The sequence below is a fragment of the Homo sapiens genome, chromosome 1, assembly GCF_000001405.40.
Source record: "Homo sapiens chromosome 1, GRCh38.p14 Primary Assembly".
Classification (NCBI taxonomy): Eukaryota; Metazoa; Chordata; class Mammalia; order Primates; family Hominidae; genus Homo; species Homo sapiens.
Genome location: NC_000001.11, coordinates 156,070,896 through 156,094,407, shown reverse-complemented (window position 1 = coordinate 156,094,407; position 23,512 = coordinate 156,070,896). Strand labels below are relative to the sequence as shown.

General features: G+C 52.4%; 2 protein-coding genes across 5 annotated transcripts in view, besides 11 other annotated features; one reads left to right on the top strand and one right to left on the bottom strand.

Moving 5' to 3' along the window:
• LMNA (lamin A/C) overlaps nt 1-11,835 on the bottom strand; it is a 57,509-nt gene extending 45,674 nt beyond the window's left edge. For 2 of the 4 annotated variants that reach the window (NM_001406983.1, NM_001406984.1), the window contains exons 1-2: nt 11,745-11,835; nt 11,224-11,460 (exon numbers count right to left, since the gene is read on the bottom strand). The gene's annotated coding sequence lies outside the window, so the exon portion shown is untranslated. Of the gene's footprint in view, nt 1-3,825; nt 3,938-11,223; nt 11,528-11,744 lie in introns of those variants that run through there. The other 2 variants (NM_001282625.2, NM_001407002.1) reach the window with 2 other exon arrangements.
• Nucleotides 3,396-3,690: an enhancer, noted in NCBI's record as "tiled region #15377; K562 Activating DNase unmatched - State 12:CtcfO". NCBI's record gives its function as "activates a minimal TATA promoter and a strong SV40 promoter by Sharpr-MPRA in K562 cells {active_cell/tissue: K562}" and the evidence as "EXISTENCE:reporter gene assay evidence [ECO:0000049][PMID:27701403]".
• Nucleotides 3,581-3,640: an enhancer, noted in NCBI's record as "active region_1837". NCBI's record gives its function as "activates an Ori minimal core promoter by ATAC-STARR-seq in GM12878 lymphoblastoid cells {active_cell/tissue: GM12878}" and the evidence as "EXISTENCE:reporter gene assay evidence [ECO:0000049][PMID:35858748]".
• Nucleotides 7,174-8,008: an enhancer, noted in NCBI's record as "H3K27ac hESC enhancer chr1:156056191-156057025 (GRCh37/hg19 assembly coordinates)". NCBI's record gives its function as "activates a minimal SCP1, AML or CMV promoter by ChIP-STARR-seq in primed H9 embryonic stem cells {active_cell/tissue: H9 hESC(primed)}" and the evidence as "EXISTENCE:reporter gene assay evidence [ECO:0000049][PMID:30033119]".
• Nucleotides 11,329-12,142: an enhancer, noted in NCBI's record as "H3K27ac hESC enhancer chr1:156052057-156052870 (GRCh37/hg19 assembly coordinates)". NCBI's record gives its function as "activates a minimal SCP1, AML or CMV promoter by ChIP-STARR-seq in naive H9 embryonic stem cells {active_cell/tissue: H9 hESC(naive)}" and the evidence as "EXISTENCE:reporter gene assay evidence [ECO:0000049][PMID:30033119]".
• Nucleotides 11,925-12,134: a silencer, noted in NCBI's record as "silent region_1419". NCBI's record gives its function as "represses an Ori minimal core promoter by ATAC-STARR-seq in GM12878 lymphoblastoid cells {active_cell/tissue: GM12878}" and the evidence as "EXISTENCE:reporter gene assay evidence [ECO:0000049][PMID:35858748]".
• On the top strand, nt 11,943-22,395 carry MEX3A (mex-3 RNA binding family member A). Its single transcript, NM_001093725.2, has 2 exons — nt 11,943-12,863; nt 16,726-22,395. Exons 1-2 carry the CDS (start codon nt 12,410-12,412, stop codon nt 17,832-17,834), a joined length of 1,563 nt encoding a protein of 520 aa, NP_001087194.1. The 5' UTR covers nt 11,943-12,409; the 3' UTR covers nt 17,835-22,395.
• Nucleotides 12,143-12,955: an enhancer, noted in NCBI's record as "H3K27ac hESC enhancer chr1:156051244-156052056 (GRCh37/hg19 assembly coordinates)". NCBI's record gives its function as "activates a minimal SCP1, AML or CMV promoter by ChIP-STARR-seq in naive H9 embryonic stem cells {active_cell/tissue: H9 hESC(naive)}" and the evidence as "EXISTENCE:reporter gene assay evidence [ECO:0000049][PMID:30033119]".
• Nucleotides 16,403-17,309: an enhancer, noted in NCBI's record as "H3K27ac-H3K4me1 hESC enhancer chr1:156046890-156047796 (GRCh37/hg19 assembly coordinates)". NCBI's record gives its function as "activates a minimal SCP1, AML or CMV promoter by ChIP-STARR-seq in naive H9 embryonic stem cells {active_cell/tissue: H9 hESC(naive)}" and the evidence as "EXISTENCE:reporter gene assay evidence [ECO:0000049][PMID:30033119]".
• Nucleotides 16,403-18,217: a biological region, named in NCBI's record as "H3K27ac-H3K4me1 hESC enhancers GRCh37_chr1:156045982-156046889 and GRCh37_chr1:156046890-156047796".
• Nucleotides 17,056-17,350: a silencer, noted in NCBI's record as "tiled region #8324; HepG2 Repressive non-DNase unmatched - State 15:Elon, and K562 Repressive non-DNase unmatched - State 7:EnhWF". NCBI's record gives its function as "represses a minimal TATA promoter and a strong SV40 promoter by Sharpr-MPRA in HepG2 and K562 cells {active_cell/tissue: HepG2 | K562}" and the evidence as "EXISTENCE:reporter gene assay evidence [ECO:0000049][PMID:27701403]".
• Nucleotides 17,310-18,217: an enhancer, noted in NCBI's record as "H3K27ac-H3K4me1 hESC enhancer chr1:156045982-156046889 (GRCh37/hg19 assembly coordinates)". NCBI's record gives its function as "activates a minimal SCP1, AML or CMV promoter by ChIP-STARR-seq in naive H9 embryonic stem cells {active_cell/tissue: H9 hESC(naive)}" and the evidence as "EXISTENCE:reporter gene assay evidence [ECO:0000049][PMID:30033119]".
• Nucleotides 17,495-17,674: a silencer, noted in NCBI's record as "silent region_1418". NCBI's record gives its function as "represses an Ori minimal core promoter by ATAC-STARR-seq in GM12878 lymphoblastoid cells {active_cell/tissue: GM12878}" and the evidence as "EXISTENCE:reporter gene assay evidence [ECO:0000049][PMID:35858748]".
• Nucleotides 22,396-23,512: the final 1,117 nt, after the last annotated feature.

Genomic DNA, 23,512 nt, shown 5'->3' with positions numbered 1-23,512 from the left:
AAGACTGCACCACTGCACTCCAGCCTGGGTGACACAGCAAGACTGTCTCAAAAAAAGAGAAGACATGACTCCTCCACTTCAGCTCAGGTCTGAAGGATGAGTGGGAGATAGCCAAAATGAGAGAGAGGGTTCGAGGCAGAGGGAACAGTGTGTGCAAAGCCCTAGAGGATAGACAGGGCCTGGCCAGGAGCATGTGACCCATGTATACTTCTCGTGATAGACTCATTTTACTAGCGGTGACTGAGAGGAGGTGTATGCATGCTTAGGGATCCCTTCTGAGCCATCCACCAAGTCATGTCAGTGAGTTAGCAACACTATGGAGTTCCTGCTGTGTACGGCCCCAGACCAGGTGCTGGAGAGTGGAGGAACCCAGTGACAGGATATACTAAACCTCATGCAGACAGTAGCCCCTTGGAGATCAGATGAGGGCAGGCTGCGAGGGCCCAGGTGTAGGAGTGGGGATGGAAGGGGAGAGGAGAGATGGAGCTGGATGTGGGAGTGAAAGGTATGCCAGAAAAGCAGAGGGAGAAGTGGAATATTTGGCAATATATGGGTGAGAGGGTGTTCAAGAGGGAAGGATGGATGAGCATACACAATTTCCGAACAGCAAACATTTATTAAGCACCTACTTTGTGCTGGGTGCTGAGAATACAGGAGTAGACTAGATCCAATCCCTGTTCTCAAAGAGCTTCCCGTGTACTGGGGAAACAGAAGTGTAAACATACAGTTACAATAGAGCATGATGAATTGTAAGGGATATCCAGAAGTGACCAGGGGAGATTTCTAGGAAAAAGTGACATGTAGTTGGACGCAGTGGCTCACACCAGTAATCCCAGCACTTTGGGAGGCCAAGGCGGGCAGATCACTTGAGTTCAGGAGTTTGAGATCAGCCTGGGCAATATGGTGAAACCCTGTCTCTAAAAAAATTACAAAAATTAGCTGAGCATGGTGGCGCACGCCTGTAATCCCAGCTACTTGGGAGGCTGAGGTGAGAGGATGGCTTGAGCCAGGAGGCAGAGGGTGCAGTAAGCCAAGATCGTGCCACTGCACTCTAGCCTGGGTGACAGAGCCAGAACCTATCTAAAAAAAAAAAAAAAAAAAAAAAAAATTGACATATAAATTGAGTCCTGCAAGATGAACAAACATTAGCCAGGTGAAGGGTCAGGGAATAGCAGATGATGATAGCACAGGCCAAAGCCCTGAAAGAAAGTCCATGTGGGCTGGGAGTGGTGGCTCACACCTGTAATCCCAGCACTTTGGGGGGGCCAAGGTGGGCAGATCACCTGAAGTCAGGAGTTCGAACCAGCCTGGCCAACATGGTGAAACACTGTCTCTACAAAAAATACAAAAAATTAGCTGAGCGTGGTGGCAGGCATCTGTAATCCTAGCTACTTGGGAGGCTGAGGCAGGAGAATTGCTTGAACCCAGGAGGCGGAAGTTGCAGTGAGCCGAGATCGCACCACTGCACTCCAGCATAAACACAGCAAGACTCCTCTGTCTCAAAAAAAAAAAAAAAAGAAAAAAAGAAAAGAAAAGAAAGAAAGGAGAAAGTCCATGTGGCTGGAGTAAGGGAAGGAGGAGCAGGATGGGCTGGAGAGGTGGGCAGGAGCTGGCCAGGACAAGAGGGACATCATCACCACACTAAGGAGTGTGAATCTGATGGCAACGGGGAACTAAGATGGTGCTTTTATCAGGGGCATTTCATGATCACATTTTTTTTTTTTTTTTGAGATGGAGTCTCGCTCTGTTGTCTAGAGCCGGAGTGCAGTGGTGCAATCACAGCTTACTGCAACCTCCACCTCTCAACTTCAAGCAATTCTCCTGCCTCAGCCTCCCAAGTAGCTGGGATTACAGGTACCCACCACCACGCCCAGCTAATTTTTGTATTTTTTGTAGAGACGGGGTTTTGCCATATTGCCCAGGCTGGTCTCAAACTCCCGACCTCAAGTGATCCACCTGCCTCGGCCTCCCAAAGTGCTTGGATTACAGACAGGAGCCACTGTGCCCAGCCTTTTTGTAAATTTTTGAATAGTGATGGGATCTCGCTCTGTCACCCAATCTGGAGTGCAGTGGCACGATCACAGCTCACTGTAACCTTGAACTCAAGTGCTCCTCCTATCTCAGCCTCCTAAGTAGCTAAGACTACAAGAGCAACTCACCACACCTGGCTAATTAAAAAAAATTTTTTTTGGCTGGGCACTGTGGCTCACGCCTGTAATCCCAGCACTTTGGGAGGCCAAGGTGAGTGGATTACCTGAGGTCAGGAGTTTGAGACCAGTCTGACCAAGATGGCGAAACCCCATCTCTACTAAAAATACAAAAATTTGCCCGGTGTGGTGATGCATACCTGTAATCCCAGCTACTAGGGAGGCCGAGGCAGGAGAATGGCTTGAACCCAGGAGGCGGAGGTTGCAGTGAGCCAAAATCATGCCACTGCACTCCAGCCTGGGCAACAAGAGCAAAACTCCATCTCAAAAAAAAAAAATTTTTTTTTGTAGAGATGGGGTCTCACTATGTTGTCCTGGCCAGATAGCATGACCATCCTTTCTAAATTAGCCACCTCAAACCTTTCTGCCCCCATATCCTGGCTTATCTTTCTTTGCAGTGATGATCACTACCAGAAAGTACATTATCTACTTGACTACTGTCTGCCTTCCTCCCCAGTAGAGTATCAGCTCCGTGCAAGTAGGGACCTTGTCTATCTTGTTCTCTGATGTATTCAGGGCCTAGAATAGTTCCTGACACAGCATGTATTTGATAGATATTTATTGGATGAAAGGTTTGTTTGTTTGTTTGTTTGTTTTTGAGACGGAGTTTTGCTGTTATTGCCCAGGCTGGAGTGCAGTGGCGCGATCTTGGCTTACCGCAACCTCTGTCTCCCAGGTTCAAGAGATTCTCCTGCCTCAGCCTCCTGAGTAGCTGGGATTACAGGTATGCGCCACCATGCCCGGCTAATTTTGTATTTTTAGTAGAGACCGGGTTTCTCCATGTTGGTCAGGCTGGTCTCGAACTCCCCACCTCAGGTGATCTGCCCGCCTCGGCCTCCCAAAGTGCTGGGATTACAGGGGTGAGCCACCGCACCTGGCCATAGATGAAATGTTTTAAATCCTTACAAGGTAGATATTATTATTTCCCTTCAGACCCAGGTCAGTTGGACTCAAATGCCTGTTTCCTCAGCCTGTCCTCTGAACAGTGTCTCCCAGAAACTCAGAAGGGCGCTGGACATGAAGCCAGGTTTAGGCGACTGGAGGGGTCTCCGGGTGACCGGGGGAGCTGCTCAGACCCACGGGGATTCCCAGGTCTCAGCTACCTGGGTGTTCGTCCCGAGTCAGGAAACGACTGGTAGCATCATTATCCCCCATGTGTTGGATGCCAGAAGCCAGGGGCAAGCGGAAGCTGGAGATGACACCTGAGGAAGCAAGCCGAGCATGGAGCCCTGGCTGAGCAGCGAAGTCATACCTGGGCCCTAGTGAGGGCGCTGAGGCTGGAGCCGCTTCTAGGAATTGGCCTGCGGCGCCACCTGGTGGCCAATGTTTAAAGATGTGTTTCTTTGAACCTGTCCCCTGCTCCCCAAGATCCATGCAAGCCGGCCACCTGCTCAACCAGCAAGTCTCCCTGGGCACCTCCAGCACCAACTTCCAGACATGCCTCCAATTCTCGCCTTTCAAATGAACCTCACCCACCCTTCAGATCTACTTCATCCAGGAACCACTCCCTCCACCCTCTGTGGGCTCCAAGCACTCACTGAGTATCACTGTCTACCTCTGGGGTCCCAGGCTCTGGGGTCAGACTGCTCTGGTTTTGAACACTAAAGTCTCTACTTACCAGCTCTGTGACCTAGGAAAGTTACTTAGCCTCTCTGAACCTCAGGTCCCTTCATGTGAAGCAGAGACACCAAGTCCATCTTCACAGAATTGTGAAGACAATTACATCAAGTCTGAAAAGACCAGAACAGAGCCTGGCACCAAACATGCACTCAGGAAACGTCAAGTCCCTTCCCACCCCTCTCTCTGCCTTTTGCTTCCCTTTCCTGAAAAAGGAAGCATGACAGATCAGAAAGCAGAAGGGAGTCACAGGACTCGGGTTCTCTGGGCCTCAGTCTCCTCTGTAAAATGAGTGCATTAGGTAACTGATGAACTATTCATTCACTCATTCCCCTACTCATTCATTCATTCAACTTCTAGTCCAGCTCTGACATTCTAATTCTATACTGTATGCTGTCAATTCATCTGTGCCAGACTGCATCTTGCATTGCAGAATCTCGTTAGTACCTTGCACAGTGCCTGGCACAGAGAGGGCAATTAGAAAATCCTCAACAACCTAGGAAGGACATGTTTACTGCCTCCCCCTCCCTGCCCCAAGACAGCATCCAGCCCCTGGCTGGCACCAGGTGCCCCTCCCCCTCCCTCACCGCAGCTCGAAACCAGAGCTGGCGCCACTGGGTGTGGAATCTGGGGACCAACTGTCACAGCTCCAGTATCACCCGCCTCCTGGACGCCTGGGTCCAGCCCTAAGTCCCAGAGGGGCCTCATCAACCAGCTGTCCTAAGGGGCCCAGACTCCACCCCAGCCCCTCTGAGCTACTCTCCCTGGGGAAATCAGACAATGCAGGGGACCTGGCAGAGGAAGTGCCAGTGTAGTCCCAGGGGAGAAGCAGAGACGTTTGTCCATCTCCAAACCTAGGCTGAGCCTGCAAAGCCCTTGGAGATCAGATCCACAACAACAGAAGGACTCACAGTGACCTCTCTCCCCCAACCTCTGTAGCCCTCCGAGTCCCAAAGACCTTTCTTTCTTTCTTTCTTTCTTTTTTTTTTTTAGACGGAGTTTGGCTCTTGCTGCCCAGGCTGGAGTGCAATGGAGGCCAAGGCGGGCAGATCATGAAGTCAGGAGTTCGAGACCAGCCTGACCAACATGGTAAAACCCCGTCTCTACTAAAAATACAAAAATTAGCTGGGCGTGGGGGTGCGCGCCTGTAATCCCAGGTACTCAGGAGGCTGAGGCAGGAGAATCGCTTGAACCCAGGAGTCAGAGGTTGCAGTGAGCCAAGATCACACCACTGCATTCCAGCCTGAGCAACAGAGCAAGACTTCATCTCAAAAATAAATAAATAAATAAATAAATAAATAAACAAGGGTTGGGTATGGTGGTACATGCCTGCAATCCCAGCACTTTGAGAGGCTGAGGTAGGCGGATCACTTGAGCTCAGGAGTTTGACACCAGCCTGGCCAACATGGCAAAACCCCATCTCTACAAAAAATACAAAAATTAGCCAGGCAGGGTGCGCATGCCTGTAGACCAAACAACTCAGGAAGCTGAGGTGGGAGGCTCACTTGAGCCTGGGAGTTCGAAGTTTCAGTGAGTCAAGATCATGCCGCAGTATTATAGCCTGGACGACAGAGCAAGACCCTGGCTCAAAATAAACAAACAAACAAATAAATTAATCAATAAAATAAAATAGGCTGGGTGCGGTGGCTCACGCCTATAATATCAGCACTTTGGGAGACTGAGGCAGGTGGATCATGAGGTCAGGAGATTGAGACCATCCTGGCTAACACGGTGAAACCCCATCTCTACTAAAAATAACAAAAACAAGTAGCCAGTTGTGGTGGCACATGCCTGTAATCCCAGCTACTTGGGAGGCTGAGGCAGGAGAATTGCTTGAATCCAGGAGGCAGAGGCTCCAGTGAGCTGAGATTGTGCTACTGCACTCCAGCCTGGGCAACAGAGCGAGACTCCGTCTCAAAAAATATATAAAATAAAATAAAAATAAATTAGATGAGGTCTCACTTTGTTGCCCAAGCTGGTCTCAAACTCCTGGGCTCAAGCAATCCTTCCACCTTGGCCCCAAGGTGCTGGGATTATAGGCAGGAGCCACCGTGCTCTACCCCAAAGACCATTTTGTCCTTACATTTAATCCTGCTTACCCATGTTCTCTGGGTCATGCAGGCCAGTTTCTGTGTCTTACCGAGGGTGGGGATCAAGTCTCACATTTCTTTTGTGTGGCCTACAGAATTTTATTCCATATTCTCATTGATTAAAATTAATTAATGCTAGTGAGGTTTGGACTGCTGGTATAAGGTTAAAAAAAAGAAAACAAAAAAATTAAATTAAATTAATTAATGTGTTGAGTGCATTCTATCAAAGGAGAGAAAACTGTCTGGACTCTTAGCAGAAAGGACGGTGGTTAGATAGCAACACAGACTTCCCACAAGAAAGGGTTATTAAGGAAAAAAAGGCTGGGGCCGGGCTGGTGGCTCACACCTGTAATCCCAGCACTTTGGGAGGCCGAGGCGGGCGGATCACGAGGTCAAGAGATACAGACCATCCTGGCCAACATGTTGAAACCCTGTCTCTACTAAAAATACAAAAATTAGCTGGGTGTGGTGGTGCGCGCCTGTAGTCCCAGCTACTCAGGAGGCTGAGGCAGGAGAATCACTTGAACCCAGGAGGCGGAGGTTGCAGTGAGCTGAGATGGTGCCACTGCGCCCCAGCCTGGTGACCGAGCGAGACACCATCTCAAAAAAAAAAAAGAAAGAAAGAAAAAAAAGGAAAGAAAGGCTGGGCATGGTGGCTCATTCCTATAATCGCAGCACTTTGGGAGGCTGAAGTGGGAGGATCACCTGAGGCCAGGAGTTCAAGACCAGACTGGGCAACATAGCGAGATCTCATCTCTACAAAAAATTTAAAAATTGGCTGGGTATGGCAGCATGTGCCTGTGGTTCAGCTATTGGAGAGGCTGAGGTGGGAGGATCACTTTATCCTGGGAGATCAAGGCTTCAGTGAGCCATGATCAAGCCACTGCATTCCAGTCTGGGTGACAGAGCAAGACCTTGTCTCAAAAAAAGAAAAGAAAAGAAAAGAAAATGGGAGCCGGGCGCGATGGCTCACGACTGTAATTCCAGCACTTTGGGAGGCTGAGGTGGGTGGATCACAAGGTCAGGAGCTCAAGATCAGCCTGGGCAACATGATGAAACCCTGTCTCTACTAAAAATACAAAAATTAGCCGGGCGTGGTGGCAGGCATCTGTAATCCCAGCTACTCAGGAGGCTGAGGCAGAGAACTGCTTGAACCTGGGAGGCGGAGGTTGCAGTGAGCCGAGATGGCGCCACTGCACTCCAGCCTGGGTGACAGAGCAAGACTCTGTCCCCCCACAAAAAAAAAAAAAGGAAAGAAAAGAAAATGGGAAAATCTCATTATACATGGGAGAGAAGGCTCAGCTAACTAGGACAGATAGAGAAGGCATCCTGAGAGAAGTATGAAGATGGGGGAGATGACCTCTTTAAGGGCCAGTCTGCTTGGTAAGGCAGCCTTGGTGGCAGCCTCCTGTGTCTCCCTCCCTCAGGGTTCTGAGAATAGGGCTAAGGAGGGGCAAGTGTTAGGTGTGCACCCCCATCCCTTGGTACTGAGTGTTCAGACAGTGATAACAGGTGCCCAGAAGTGCTCAGAGGAAAGAAGGGATATAATTCCTGGCCGGGCGCGGTGGCTCACGCCTGTAATCCCAGTACTTTGGGAGGCCAAGGTGGGGGCGGATCACCTGAGGTCAGGAGTTTGAGACCAGCCTGGTCAAGATGGTGAAACCCCGTCTCTACTAAAAGTACAAGAATTAGCCAGGAGTGGTGGTGCATGCTGTAATGCCAGCTACTCAGGAGGCTGAGGCAGGAGAATAGCTTGAACCCAGGAGGCGGAGGTTGCAGTGGGCCAAGATCGTGCCACTGCACTCCAGCCTGGCAACAGAGCGAGACTCTGTCTCAAAAGGAAAAAAAAGGAAGAAGAAGGGATACAACTCCAGACACAGACAAGCACACAGTCTGGATCATCCACCCCACTCCTCCCCCAACCTCCACAAGAATCCTGGACTCTCCACTGTGTCACCTTTCCTGCCCTGCAGCCTGGCTTGTGTGTGTGTATGTACTAAACAACTCAACAGGGTCCTTTGTTCCCCAGGCATGAGGCCAGAAGCCTGGCTTGTGTAAGAAAGACAAAAGAGAGAGAGAGAGAGAGAGAGAGAGAGAGAGTCAGAGGTCACCTGCATTCCAGGGCTTAACAGGAATTATTTTTAGAATTATTTGCTGTTTGTTTAGAATGACCTTATTTCAGCGAGTCTAGACCTAGAAGTGACTTCAAGTGACCTATGATGGGTCAGAATAAATCTCCTCCAGTGCCTGGCACATCCCAGGAGCTCAATAGGAAGTGGCTGGCTGAATGAATGAACGAATGAATGAAAATTCATGAAGACCACAATCTGGCTAAAGTCAACCACAAGGGGAGAACAACCAGGGCCAGGAAACTAAAACTGATTGAACACCTAAGATAGCCAGGCACTGTGTTAGGACCTTGGCTTATTTTATTTTATTTTTTGAGACGGAGTCTCCCTCTGTTGCCCAGGCTGGAGTGCAATGGCACAATCTTGGCTGCAACCTCTGCTTCCTGGTTCAAGCAACTCTCATGCCTCAGCCTCCCAAGTAGCTGCGATTACAGGTGTGCACCACCATGCCCAGCTAATTTTTGTATTTTTAGTAGAGACAGGGTTTTGCCATGTTGCCCAGGCTGGTCTGGAACTCGTGGCCTCAAGTGATTCACCCACCTTGGCCTCCCAAAGTGCTGGGATTACAGGAACGAGCCACCATGCCCTGCCAGACCTTGGCTTATTATTTCCATTTGAGAGATAAGGAAACTGAGGCTTAGCAATAAATGACTCCCCAAAGTGGCAGAATAAGCAGCATGTTTATCTTTGGAGACCTGCTCTTTCCTCCTGACACCATGAAGTTTTAAAAATGCAGTTACACTCAACATACCCCTATTGAGCCTCTGCTCTGGGCAGGGCTGCATGCTAGGTTCTGGGCAGCTAGGGTTGGGGACCATGATGAAGATGAGAGACATAGTGCTGTCCTCCAAAGTCCTGAAAGGGAGAAGTATGCCACCTCTACACCTTTCTGGTCATAAGGCAGAGAGTGGGGAGTATTGTTTAAGTAAGACCTTCTGCTCTCATTGCCATAATTCTGGATCAGGCAAGCAGGGAAAAGGAGAGCCTGTATACAGAAATCTACCTTCTCAGTTGAGGGAGGGGGTCTCCTGAACAAAGGAGGCCACCAGCCTCCGGGAGAGAGCGAAGGATTCGTAAAAAACACTCTGAGAATCCAGCTCCTCAAGGTGCCCACCCTGGGCCTCCTCTGCACCTGGGCACTCTCCTACATGATCTGCAGCACACACTCTCACATGTACACCATGCCACACACCTAACTGCATTCGCACACATATCCTTTGCCCTCCAGGTGCCAGGCTCACATCTGCTGTGAAGGAAATTTGTCTGGAGTCCCAGTGGGACCCTGAGGGTGGACATTAACTTACCCAGAGGGCTGATTCATTCTTGTTGGTGGGTCAGGGACGAAGTGGGTCCAGTAGGGACCCTGCCTCGCCCACCCCACCTTTCAGCCAGCCCCTTCCCCATTCAGCAGCTGGACCCTCCCCACTGACACATACTTGTTTCTGCCCTTTGTTTTCCTCCCTGGCCAAATCCCCAAGGCTTCTTTGGTCATTAACCTCCTGCCTTAATTAGCTTAGTGAGGAGGAAAGCAGAGGCAGCGCAAGTTCAGGGTGGGAGTCTGGGGGGAATCTCATTTCAGTGGGGACAGGAAGGCTCAGCCAGCTGGTGGCCCCACAAAAATGCCTAGCACACAATAAGACCTATGCAACTGTTTGCTATTTCTATTTATGTGAAAGATAGTCACCTGGTCCACAAAGCAAAAACTTTCTCCCAAAGAGACCCCATGGTCCCCAGTACCACAGTCTCTGCAATCCAGGTTCCTGGGGCAGACGGAGGGGACAAGAGGCAGAAATAGCCCACTCTCCAGGGCCCTGTCTCTCTAATTCTTCCTCTTTCACTCTTGCTTGGTGGCAGTAGCATCAAATCCCACAATAAGGTTTACTGTTGATCTTATGTTAAATCCCCAGTCCAGGGGGCAAACTTCCCCAACTCCAGGACCCTCCCGGGTTCCTCAGTCAAGGTTCTCCTTCCCTGGATCTTCTGCCTAGCAAAGGAAAAAAATCCCTGCAGTGTGCCAACTGCCCCCACCACCCCCCGACCTTCTGAGATCCTCAGCTCAGGTTCCAGCACTCCCATTAGTGTGCAAATTCACTCTTTCCAAGAAACAGTTTAGGGAACTGGACTAAACAGCTCAGCCCTCAAGGCCCCACATTGCTAAGTCTGTGAAGTCAATTCATCTGTTTCCTTGCCTCTCAGCAGGACTTTATCTTACAAACTAGTTCAGATTTTTGTTTTTCAAGTCACTCCAGAAAAGGACACCTTACCACTGTGGCTCACCCACCCACTATTATAAAACTCTTTATGGAAGTTCTTCTTCAAGTCTGACCTCGAGCCCTCAAGCTGCAGTGCCATCCCTTCTTCCCTTGGGAAAGATCCAGACATAAAAAGGGTGATATAAAATAAATGCAGAAAATATGGGGTAAAGGGAGAAGAAAAAATTGCATTACACTCCACCTTCCTGAAACTCTAAAAGTGCCTAACTCTCCAAGCCTTAAAAACTTATTTTCATTCTCACCGAATTTCCGGAGTCAAACGGGACTGAATGGGTTTTTTTGTTTGTTTGTTTTGTTTTTGTTTTTTTGTGGGGGGGACGGAGTCTCACTCTGCGATCTAGACTCACTGCAACTTCCGCCTCCCGGGTTCAAGCAATTCTCCTGTCTCAGCCTCCTGAGTAGCTGGGACTACAGGCGTCTGCCACCATGCTCGGCTAATTTTTGTATTTTTAGTAGAGACGAGGTTTCACCTTGTTGGTCAGGCTGGTCTCGAACTCCTGACCTCAGGTGATCCACCCGCCTCTGCCTCCCGAAGTGCTGGGATTACAGGCGTGAGCCACCGCGCCCGGCCCTGAATAGGTTTTCAATGGGAGAGAGGTGGAGGAAACAGAGTGGAAATTACGATGAGTGCTAAAGGACAGATCACCCCAAGCTGTATTCACAGCCCAGGCCTGAAGGAAGCCTGGGTTCCCAGTCCATCCTGGTCTCTCCTCCCTCCTGTCATATCCAAAGCTCAAGGCCCTCACCCCAAACGGTTAAGTCACCCCAGGCCTTTAAGACTTTTCCTGCCTGCCCACTCTCCGTCCGACCCCCAGTTCTGTCCCTGCACTCCTTCAACCTCTGCACTTCATCACTCCACCGCCCTCCCGACCCCCTCCACCGAGCAGAAGGACGTGAACTAACTCACCTCCCAGTCGGTGCCTCTGAGATCTCCGAGACTGGGGGGGCGGGGGGCGGGCGAGGGGAGATGGCTTGCTGTTTAGGGATGAGGGGACCCCATCCTTTGCCAGGGGGTTCCAGCCCCAGCCTGGCACCCTTTCCTGGCCCCCACAACACGCAGAGCCCAGCTCTCCCCCCATCGCTGCTGCGGGCTTTGTCTTCTCTGCCGAGAACCTCTCCCCGCGGCCGGGCTCCGGGATCGACTCTGGGAGAGCGGGAGGGGGAAGCGGAGAGTGAGCGCGGCAGGGAGCGGGGAGAGGGGAGCGAGAGAGAAAGCCGCAGTGAGCGAGCGGGGACGGCTCCCGGCTCCCCGCCCCCGGCCCCGGCCCCCCCTCCTCATTTCCATAAAAAAGCGGGCCCCCAGGACCGGCCGGCGCGGGGCAGGAGCGGGTCCTGGGAGGGGGCGCGCGGCGTTAGCCAGCTTCATACCCGCTCTGTTTCCGCATACTACCCCTTCTCCCCGCACCCTCCCCTTAAAAAATTAGGGACCTCGACTTCCATCCCACTCCTAGCTTGCCCCGGAGCTGCGAGGAAAGACCGAAGGCCACATCCCTATCCTCCTCGGGTCAAGGAATTTGTCCCCGCGCCCCCAAGGGCGGGAAACTACAACTCCCGGCATGCCCCGGGCGCCCCCGGCGCGCCCCCCTCCCGTCAGTTTCATGCTGCTCCATCCAGTTCATTTAAAACAAAAGAGTTTGAGCGCTGGAAGGGGCTGGGCTCTATTGGGGGCCACTGAGCGCCGCTCCCGGACTGGGGCTCGGTGCGGGAGCCTAACGGGGGCGCCTGGACAGCGGGGGCTAGAGACTCCCAGGTCCGAGGCGGGAGGGGTGGGGGCAGAGATCCTGCAGCCCCCCGCCCCCCGTCACCCCCGGAGAGGAGAGGAGATCTGCTTTCTTGGTTTTGCTTCTCTTTCCCCCCACCCCCACCCCGGGGGCTGGGGCGAGGGGAGTCGGGTTACAGGGTGTTTGGGGAGGGGGGCTTAGGGGGAGGGTCTATCTTTCTATCTCGCTTTCTTCCCCCCTCCCCAGTTCTTTGTTCCCCCCTCCCCACACACCCCCTCCTCTCCTCTCCCCTCCCCTCCTCTCTCCTCTTTTCCCTTCCACCACCTCTCTCTCTCTCTCTCCCTCTCTCTCTCCCCCAGCTTTTGTTTCGCCATGCCTAGTCTAGTGGTATCTGGAATAATGGAAAGAAATGGGGGCTTTGGAGAACTAGGATGTTTCGGGGGAAGCGCTAAGGACCGAGGGCTGCTGGAAGACGAGCGCGCCCTTCAGCTGGCTCTCGATCAACTCTGCCTCCTGGGTTTGGGGGAGCCCCCCGCCCCCACGGCGGGCGAGGACGGGGGAGGTGGGGGGGGCGGCGCCCCCGCGCAGCCGGCCGCCCCCCCGCAGCCGGCCCCGCCGCCGCCGCCCGCGGCGCCCCCGGCCGCCCCGACGGCGGCCCCCGCAGCGCAGACGCCCCAGCCCCCCACCGCCCCCAAAGGGGCGAGCGACGCCAAGCTCTGCGCTCTCTACAAAGAGGCCGAGCTGCGCCTGAAGGGCAGCAGCAACACCACGGAGTGTGTTCCCGTGCCCACCTCCGAGCACGTGGCCGAGATCGTGGGCAGGCAAGGTAAGCGGGGCGCCGGGACCACTGAGAGGGACTGTAGTGGGGGCACCCTCGTCCCTAGCGCGGAAAGTTCATTTCTTCCCTTCTTGCCCGCCTCCGGCTCTGTCCCTTCCCCACAAAGGGGGACCCGCCCCCTACCCTGATTTCAAAGTGCCACAAAGTTCCCCGTTACCCCTAGTCGGGACGGTTCTCCAGATCCTTCCTCCCCCAGGACTCTGCCTTTAGACAAAGAAATATCCTCGCACTGGAAGAGGGAAAGGGGAGGGGATCGGTCTCCCAATCCAGGGAGGCTGTCCTGAGGGGGTGTCCACTCCTAACCAGAAAAACTGACGGAATGTGCAAAGAGTTACTCAGAAGCCTGTACTCTGGTATCTGCTCCTAGGCTGGGGAGGGGGCATCCCTGGGGCCCCCAGCCGCCTGGAGTTACAGACTTTGGGGGAGACCTGGCCCTCGAAGCCAGACTGAGTATCTGTCTCTTTGTTGGGCTGAGTGTAGGAATGGAAGGGGGTGTGGCCCAGGGGAGGGTCCCAGCCTGGGGAAGAGGCGGTGAGGGGGGCTGCTGAGAGGAGGGGGTCCTGTGGTCACCCACACCCCAAAGTTGGATTGTCTCTGGGGTTTTGGAAGGGGTGTCTCCAAGGAAGTGCTACGTCCTGGCTTGGACCTCTCCTCTTCCCTCTCTGGCTTTTGTTCTGGGCTGGCCACGGCCTTGGGCCAGAGGCCTAGAGAGGGGTCTCTGGTAGTGAAAGAGTAGGACAGGGTAGGAGGGGGAATGCTGGGGGGTAAGAAACCTTCACCTGGAAATTTGGTGGAGGGCGTGTGTCTGGGTGTGTTGGGAGGGGGTGCAGAATTAATCCAGCGTAGTATGTCTGGTACCACACCCTCTGCTGCTCCAGCATCCCTGGGTGGGTGAGTGGGGGTGTTGGTGAAGGTCCAAATTGAGCAGACGGGATCTTGGGGACCCTTCCCTCTCCTGGCTTCTCAAAGGAGAGTGTGGGGGGCAGGATTTGGAAATTGCAAAGAGGCTGGGCTGGGGAGGTGTGGGGTGGGGGAGGAGCTGTCCCACAGTGGGGAACAATAGAGGAGCTGCATTCCGGCTGGGAGTGCGGGAGGAGGCCAGCTTCTGGCAGAGGAAAAGGGGAGGCGGGCCAGGGGGGCCCCTACTCCACATCCCACCTTATCCACTGGGAGTGCTGGGGGTTAGGGGGATTTCACGGAGAGATCCAGAATGGAGGAGGGGAAGATGCCACTCCCCTGCACAGCCCTCATCCCCCTGGGGCACTCCATCTCTTGAGATTTCTGATTTAGAAAGTTGGATTTCCTCTTGTCAGAAACTGGGGATCCAAAGCCCTGGAATTGGGTGGGGACGGACATTGCTATCTTTTCTTGGGTGTGGGGGTGGTCTTGGGAGGCCCCGGAATTTAATGGAGTCATTCTTTCCTCTTCTGCCTCCGCATCAGATGGGCTTGTCCCTCATAAAAGTAAGGGGATTTTTATTCACAAAAGATAAGCCTGCCCCTCAGTCAAGTATATGGAAGTCCTCCCTCTTGTCTAACCTCCCTCCTCCTGCTGCAGTGTTAGTGCTCCTCTGTTTGACCTCTAGGAAGGTGAAGCCCAGTGGGTCTTCCCTTCAAGAGATGCTTCTTTGGGGTTGCAGAACCCAGGAAGAGACCCACCACCAGCTTTGCACCTCCAGGCCTCTAGCGTTTCTTCTTACTCGATGCCTTGGCCTGTCCTCCTCACCCCAACCCCAACCGCTAAAGATACCTAGCTCTCATTTAAGTTTTTGGACCCAAAACTTACGGCCAGAACCCAGGTGCCCATCAAACGATATGTGAGTAGAAATGGTAGGAGAGGGGAGTTCACTGTTTTGTGACCCTCCATACCTCGAAAATAGAACAATCATTTACTGACATTAAAGCAGCAAGGATGTGGGCTGGACAACAGGTAGGACTTCATAACTGCTAAGAGGTCTGAAGACAAGAGGAAACAAGCAAATTTTCCTTCTTAAGGTCTTTTAAAAGTGAGGGGAGGGTGTAGGGTGTGGTGGCTTACACCTGTAATCCCAGCATTTTGGGAGGCCGAGGCGGGTGGATCACCTGAGGTCAGGAGTTCAAGACCAGCCTGGCCAACGTGGTGAAACCCCATCTCTACTAAAAAATACAAAAAATTAGCTGGGCGTGGTGGCAGGTGCCTGTGATCCCAGCTACTCGGGAGGCTGAGGCAGGAGAATCGCTTGAACCCAGGAGGCAGAGGTTGCAGTGAGCCGAGATTATGCCACTGCACTCCAGCCTGGGTGACAGAGCAAGACTCCATCTCAAAAAAAAACAAACAAAAAAAGTGAGGGAGGGTCCCCCAACCTACTCTCTTCCCCTCACCCCCCAATCTGCCAGCGTTGAAGAAGCAGCCATCTGGAGTGGAGGAAGGAGGAAAAAATGAGCTCACCTCAGGTCTCAGGTTGGAGGGTTGGGGCAGAGGCAGAAAAGTAGGACCACTTGGTTTCGGTTGGAGAGAGAAGGGGAATAGTGAGTTGTGCTCAGAGAAGGGTGTGAGTGGGTCTATATGTGATTGGGGGTGAAAGTCATGGGTGCGGGTGTGTATAGGAATGTGCTGTTTGTGTGCTGGGGAGGATGGGGATGGACAGTGGGATGTATGAAAGGCCGAAACACAGGGACTTGATGTGTGTGTGAAAGAGGTGTATAAAAGTGTACATTAGATTGGCCCCATAAGTATTATTTAGATAAAGGCACACCTCTTAGGTACATGTGTGTGAACTCACACACGTGACGTGTGCTTCCCAAAAGGGTATGAGTCTTGGAAGCTCTGTGTGAAGCTAGGAGCAGGGAAGAGGAAGGTGGGTAAGGAGGAGAGGGACTTGTCCAGACCCCCAGGTCGGCAGCTTTTAGAAACAGAATAGCCCTTACTTTTCTCTCTAGCCTTCTCCCTCTTTGTCTCTCTTTGTCTCATTTTTCTTCTTTCTCTTCCTGCCTTTCCCTAACCTCCCAGCTTTAACTCACTTCTACTTCAAAGCAGGAGTGTGGGTCCAAAATACCTCTCCCTCACCGTACTCAGCCCCAGCCCAGCTCAGCTGTCTTGCCCCCAGGGGACAGGGGGACAAGAGTGACACGGGGTTGGGCACTGTTCCCTCACACAGAAGTTTAACTCCATACTCCTCCTTTCCTCCTTGAACTTATGATTGTCAGACCTTTCCCAGTCCCCTACACTCTACTCGTTGCTGCAAACTCGCTATGAATTTGAGGCCCACTGAGAGAAACTACTGAGTGGAAGGCATGTGGGGCGGTCATAGAGCAGATAGACTTCAGTGGTCCCTGGGTAGTTTGGAGGACACTTTTAATGATCAAGGGTCAGATGAGTAGATTATGAGGTTACTGAGCACATTGGGGTTCTGTGGAAAGATCAGGGTCAGTGACAGATGTGGGGGGTGATTAAGTGATTTGGAAGTTTGTGAGTAGCCAGGAATCAGTAGAGAAATTGAAGGAAGAGCAAATGTTGGGAGAAAGGAGTGTAGTTTGTGAATGGATTTGAGTTACCAGCTTGTATGGGAGGGTCAGTGATTATTTGGGGGTTTTGAGGAGTGAATGAATTTGGAGGGCCCTGAATGGAACTCAGGGAAAGTTAGTACATTTTGAAATCTGTGGCTGAGAGAGACATTAGGCACATCTGAGATCTGATAAATGGTTTCTTCAAGTCAGGGTGGACTGTGTGTGCAGCAGTGGGCATTTCAAAGGGTAGACTGAAGTGTTCCTGGGAGGCTAGGTATTTGGGTAAGGATCAGGAATTTATTGGTCCCAGCACAAACCTTGCTGTGTGCGTTTCTTTGTCTCTCTCCTTCCCCGCCCTATCCCAGGCTGCAAGATTAAGGCCTTGAGGGCCAAGACCAACACCTACATCAAGACACCGGTGAGGGGCGAGGAACCAGTGTTCATGGTGACAGGGCGACGGGAGGACGTGGCCACAGCCCGGCGGGAAATCATCTCAGCAGCGGAGCACTTCTCCATGATCCGTGCCTCCCGCAACAAGTCAGGCGCCGCCTTTGGTGTGGCTCCTGCTCTGCCCGGCCAGGTGACCATCCGTGTGCGGGTGCCCTACCGCGTGGTGGGGCTGGTGGTGGGCCCCAAAGGGGCAACCATCAAGCGCATCCAGCAGCAAACCAACACATACATTATCACACCAAGCCGTGACCGCGACCCCGTGTTCGAGATCACGGGTGCCCCAGGCAACGTGGAGCGTGCGCGCGAGGAGATCGAGACGCACATCGCGGTGCGCACTGGCAAGATCCTCGAGTACAACAATGAAAACGACTTCCTGGCGGGGAGCCCCGACGCAGCAATCGATAGCCGCTACTCCGACGCCTGGCGGGTGCACCAGCCCGGCTGCAAGCCCCTCTCCACCTTCCGGCAGAACAGCCTGGGCTGCATCGGCGAGTGCGGAGTGGACTCTGGCTTTGAGGCCCCACGCCTGGGTGAGCAGGGCGGGGACTTTGGCTACGGCGGGTACCTCTTTCCGGGCTATGGCGTGGGCAAGCAGGATGTGTACTACGGCGTGGCCGAGACTAGCCCCCCGCTGTGGGCGGGCCAGGAGAACGCCACGCCCACCTCCGTGCTCTTCTCCTCTGCCTCCTCCTCCTCCTCCTCTTCCGCCAAGGCCCGCGCTGGGCCCCCGGGCGCACACCGCTCCCCTGCCACTTCCGCGGGACCCGAGCTGGCCGGACTCCCGAGGCGCCCCCCGGGAGAGCCGCTCCAGGGCTTCTCTAAACTTGGTGGGGGCGGCCTGCGGAGCCCCGGCGGCGGGCGGGATTGCATGGTCTGCTTTGAGAGCGAAGTGACTGCCGCCCTTGTGCCCTGCGGACACAACCTGTTCTGCATGGAGTGTGCAGTACGCATCTGCGAGAGGACGGACCCAGAGTGTCCCGTCTGCCACATCACAGCCACGCAAGCCATCCGAATATTCTCCTAAGCCCCGTGCCCCATGCCTCCGGGGCCCACTCCACTGGGCCCACCCTGGACCTGTTTTCCACTAAAGCCTTTTGGAAAGCGGTGATTTGAGGGGCAAGGTGCTTAGAGATACTCGCTCGCTGGGGAAGGGGGGAGGGAGGCAGTGGTGGCTGGAGGGTGCGCCACTTTCAGAGCCTCTGGTCACCCTGTCCTGGAAAGATTGGGAGGGGGCCAGACTGAAAATTTTACTAGAGTTACAACTCTGATACCTCAACACACCCTTAAATCTGGAAGCAGCTAAGAGAAACTTTTGTTTTGCCAGAGGTGGCCACTAAGGCATTCTGACGCCCTCTGCCCACCTCCCCCGCTGTGTGTCACTCCACCCCTTCTTCCGAGGAGGGGGTGGGTAAAAGGGAGAGGGAGAATTACCACCTGTATCTAGAGGTGCTCTTTGCAATCCCTAAGCCCTCTGGTCCTGACCTCCGACCTCCTAACATGACCCTTTACCTCCCACCCCACCCCCATATCCTGTTTGGGAAACTGTCACCAGTTTCCAGCAGTGTAAGGGAGTTGGAGTCCTATCAGAAGTTGCATAGATCTTCTAGGGGTTGGGGAGAGAAGCATGTCAATCGTTTCTGTGGCTGAAAGGCTCAGAAGCCATCTGTCCCCACAAAGCTGGGCTAGAGGAATCTGGAGAGGAGTCCTCCTCTCTGCCCCTGTCCCCTGCAGTGTTTCCCTTCACTCTCTCCGCCTATCTTCCCTTCCTTTGGGATCTTCCCTTTCCTCAACTCTTTCCTTTCCCTCCAGCTCTTTGCTTTGCTTTCTTTTGGTGGCTGTCACTCCCAGCTCTGTCTTGTTCCTTGTCTTTGTCTTTCTTCCCTTCCCCCTGCCCCTGCCCCTACCAGCCCAGCTTTGGGGACACCATCCTTCTGGGGAGAAGTAGGGGGAGGAATATTTGGATGGTCCCTCCATTCCTCTTCAGGCATCTGGAGGCCCTCTCCCCCACTCCTCCAAAGAAACATCTCAAATTATTGATGGAATGTATCCCCATTCTCAGTGAAAATGTGAGGAGGGGACTAATACTGGGGTAAAGGGTCAAACCCCCACCTTCATCACTATGGGCATTATATTTAGGGAGTAGTTCTTGGGCTGGATTTTCTGGTTGTGGAAGTGGGGGCGCCAGAGTAGTGTGTCTGCTATTTAAAGGAGCAGGAAAGGGCGTGAGGCAGGAGGAGAGACTGGTGGAGGGAAGAGCTGCTCCTCCCATGCAGTGCCCGACTCCCTGCACCCCTCTCAACCTGACCTGAACCTTTATTGAATCCTTATTAGCTTGAATCCTTATTAGCTTGAATCCTCCATGCAAATCATGGAGTCTGTGTCCCACCTGATGTGGTTGAGGAGAAGCCAGGTCTTCAAAGAGGGGTCAGCCTGGGGCAAAGCAGGACTGGGGGGAGGTGGGCAGCAGGGCCTATTCTGAGAATCACATATTGTTACAGGCCTTGCACCCCCTTTGCTGCTTCCCTCCTGCTCATTTGGGGCTGCCACCAGCTCTCCACCCTCCTGGTTCCGCTGGCCGGGCCAAGAGAGGATGGAGGGATGGGAGTCCCAGGAGATCCTTGTAAATAGTGGGGTGGGACTGTTCTGAGTGATCACCCGAGCACTTAAAGCTCCAGAGTCCCATTCTTCCTGGATGGAGCAGGTGGAGGTGCAGAGGGGATTTCCTCCTCTCCTTCCTCCTGTCGAGAATTAACACCTCTCCACAGCCTTCCCCTCCAGAACACCAGCCAGGGAGGGGTGGGGAAGGAGGTCACAGCCAAGAAAACTGCCCTGTGACGACTTCCCTCCTTCCCGCCTATGTGAGCCATCCTGAGATGTCTGTACAATAGAAACCAAACCAAATGGGCACCCTCGGTTGCCGGGGGGCAGGTGGGGAGGGGGGTGGGAAGAAGGGATGTCTGTCTGTCGTCCCCCTCCCCCTCTCCACTCTTTACCCACAAAGGCAGAAGACTGTTACACTAGGGGGCTCAGCAAATTCAATCCCACCCTTACCAATTGAGCCAAACCTAGAAACAAACACAAAACACGAATAGTGAGAGACAAAATAGAGGAGAGAAAGAGAGCATGAGAGGGAGCGAGACAGGCGACCAACACAGAGGAGAGAAAACAAAAATAGCAAAAAAAAAAAAAAAAAGCAGTTCTTTATAATTTAATATTCTATTTTAATAAAGGCGTTTATTACCATATAAATGTAGCAAAGAACCTGGGCTAATATGAAAAAAAAAGACTTTTTATTAGGTAATTTATTATATGAAAAGGATATTTTATTTTATGATAAAGTGATCCTTAAAAAAATAAAAAAACTTTAGAAGGTTTAGAATATATGTAGGGAGAGAAGAAGAAAAAAATACATTTGTATTCAGAGTTAAATCTTAAAAAAAAAAAGTGTTTTTAATATATGTTTGGGTTTACGTTGCTTTTTTCCCCCACTTTTTTTTTGGGGAGGAATGTCATTTGCTTTTCTTGGGGGAGCATCCCGGGGGTGAATGGTGGAGAGAGGAGCTGGGGGAACCCGGTCCCTCCTGGGACCCTTCCAGTAGATTGGATTTCACTCCATGGACTCCTCCTCCCCTCTCCCCCTCCCCCTCAGGGGAGCCGGCAGAGCCAAACAAAGAAAGGGATTAACAAGAAAGGAAGAAGCTGTAGGACTAAGGACTGAGGATCCTGGGGTGTCCCCCACCACTTTCCCCTGCCCTGTCGCAGGGGCAAGTGAGGAGGGGGAATCCAGAATTAAGGCCTAGCAGGCCTATAGGAACCCTCAGAGATGTGTGAGATTTAAGAGATCTAGATTTTTTTTTAACCAAAAACAAGAGAGAAAGAGAAGAAAAAGAGAAACCGAGGGGTTTAAAAGAAAAGAATACTACAAAATAATAATTATTAATAATAATAATTCAAATTTATTTCATATAATCCTAGAGAGAGAAAGAAACAATTACTAGTTACTTAGTAGACAATATTAAGATAGCTTAAAGTTTAGTAGCATTGAGGGCCCCTGGGTCCAGTAGAATGTATAAAAGTTGTAAGGAAAAGATAAATAGAGGAGGGAAGTGGCTGAGTCCACCCTGAGTTGCCCAATCTTCAGATACCAGGGTTGGATCAGGTTGCTAGTTTAAGATTGGGAGCTTCCAGTCTGCTGGGGTTGATTCTGAGAATCCTTGGATTTTTAAATTGTAGGACAAAGAAATGAGGGGTTCATTTCCCAGGGTCTTGGAAAGGATGCACACTGATCATCTCAATAAGACAGGGGCTGGGTTGGGGGCAGCAGAGGAGGCCAAGCACATTCACCTGCACCCCTAGTACCTGGGCAGCCCATACTCCAATGTGGTATGTCCCCTCCTGGGGCTCCCAGCTCAAACCCTCCCATGCCTGCTTCCCCCAGGCCTAACTGAGGAAGTCCTTCTTGAAGTGTGACCTCGGTCCACTTCTCTACAGATTGATTTAAGAGCCTGGGAAGTCATTCCACAAACAGACACACATGCACACACGCTTCTCACCTTCAGAGCTTCAAGAGCACTGAGGCGATCAGTCCCCTACCCCTGTTCCCATCCAGCTTTCCACTTAGCTTTGACCTCCATGGCAGCAGTAGCAGTAACAATCTCAGTAATTGTTCTTTAAAGCTGACTCGTTCTTCACCTACTTGCAAAGTGCTTTCTTGTCTCATAAAAGTTAGATTCCAAGAAGGACTTCCCACGGAGTGGAGTGGAAACACTGTCCTTGAAGGCCTGGGAGAAAGGCATCCCCATGGGCACAGAGGCTGGGGAAAGGCACAGGGACTTTGGGTGACCCTAACCCTGACCCTCTGCTCCAGTTCACCTCCATCTATATGTGTTCAGGTAGGGGTCATCTACTGTACCCTGGCCTGGGAACACATTGCCCTCCCCACACAAAACTGGAGGGCTTGGCTTCTGCGTGTGAGAAATCAACATTTTTAAAGCACTTGCCTTCTACCAACCCCAGCTTGCAATCACTGGGCCTTCCCCTCCTATCCAAGGGGTTGGAGGGGCCCCTTGGCTCTCCTTTTGGCAGGAGGAGCCTGCTTCATTACACCAATGACTCTGCCATCCCCCTCCCTGGCCCTAGACCCCAAACACATCTCCCTCTACCCAATTTACTCTTCTCGCCCCACCTAGGGACAGATTCCCCCTGCTCTTTTTGTCCTAGAAACCCCGCTAGTTTGGGATGGTAGCGTCTGGGGTGGGGAGGGCTTCCCCTTCCCCACTCGAGGGTGCGGGTGGGGAAGGGGGGGTGGGTGGAGACAGCCCTGGGGCAGGGAGGATGGTCTCTCCACTGTAGAAAGTAGAGTAGGATTGTGGTCAGACTTAATTTGAGGCATCTAGTGAAGACACGTACAAATCCACCAAGGAAAAAGATTTCAAAAGCAAAATAAAAGCGGGAAATAAAACAGACCCAAGAATAATCAAGTCAAAGTGATGTTGCACAAAATGCAGAGAAACCAAGAAGGGGGAGGGTTAATGTATTAAATGTGCTATTAAGAACTTAATTTTATTAAAAGTACTATTACTTAAGGCTCTGTCTTCGTTCTCTGCATGTAAGTCTGTGCCATCTTGGGGTGAGTGGGAGGATCTGGGTGGGGATTGCAGCTTGGGGTTTCCTCTAGTGTAGCTTTGGGCTCCCTACACACCTGTGAGTAGTGGATGTCTCTGGAGTTCCTTGCCACCCTTAAGCTCCCCCTTTCAGCTCTCCATAGCTCTGCTTGAGTCTCCAAGCTCTAATCCCCTGCCTTTTCTCTCCATTTACTCCCTTCTCTTCTTTGGAGGTGCAGTCAGGCCTTGTTCCACCCTGACCTGAAGAACAGGGGAAGGTGACTGGGCGCAGTGGCTCATGCCTGTAATCCCAGAACTCTGGGAGGCCGAGGTGGATGGACCGCTTAAGGCCAGGAGTTCAGGACCAGCCTGGGCAACATAGCGAGACCCTGTCTCTACCAAAAATACAGAAAATTAGCCAGGCATGGTAACACATGCCTATAGTCCCAGCTACTCGGGAGGCTGAGGCAGGAAAATCACTTGAACCCAGGAGGCGGAAGTTGCAGTGAGCTGAGATCACGCCACTGCACTCCAGCCTGGGCAACAGAGTGAGACTCCATCTCAAAAAAAAAAAAGAACAGGGGAAGGTGAGGCAGGGTGACAGAGATGCTACCTGGACAGCCATCTCCTATGCTCCATGGAAAGGGGGCAGAGAGCTAAGAGACAGGGACCCTCCCCATTTACCCCACCAGATTCAATCCATCCTTCTTCTTTGGGATCAGGAAGAAGACTGGAAGGGCTCAAGTTTGTAATCCTAGCACTTTAGGAGGCTGAGGCAGGCGGATCACCTGAGATCAGGAGTTTGAGAGCAGCCTGGCCAACATGGCAAAACCCCGTCTCTACTAAAAATACAAAAATTAGCCAAGTGTGGTGGCGGGCACCTGTAATCCCAGCTGAGGCTGAGGCAGGGAGAATTGCTTGAACCCGAGAGGTGGAGGTTTCAGTGAGCCGAGATCACACCACTGTACCCCAGCCTGGGCAACAGAGTGAGACTCCATCTCAAAAAAAAAAAAGACTGGATGGAGGACTTGGACCTTGCACCTCTCAGGCTTAAAAACCCCTTCCCCAGTACACACCTACAGGACTGGCCCCCACTCCC

Bases quoted from the DNA above. Each gene is read 5' to 3' on its own strand.
- MEX3A (NM_001093725.2), top strand. From the start codon at position 12,410: ATGCCTAGTCTAGTGGTATCTGGAATAATGGAAAGAAATGGGGGCTTT. The intron at 12,864-16,725 runs GTAAGCGGGGCG...GCCCTATCCCAG, and splicing joins CGAGATCGTGGGCAGGCAAG to GCTGCAAGATTAAGGCCTTG.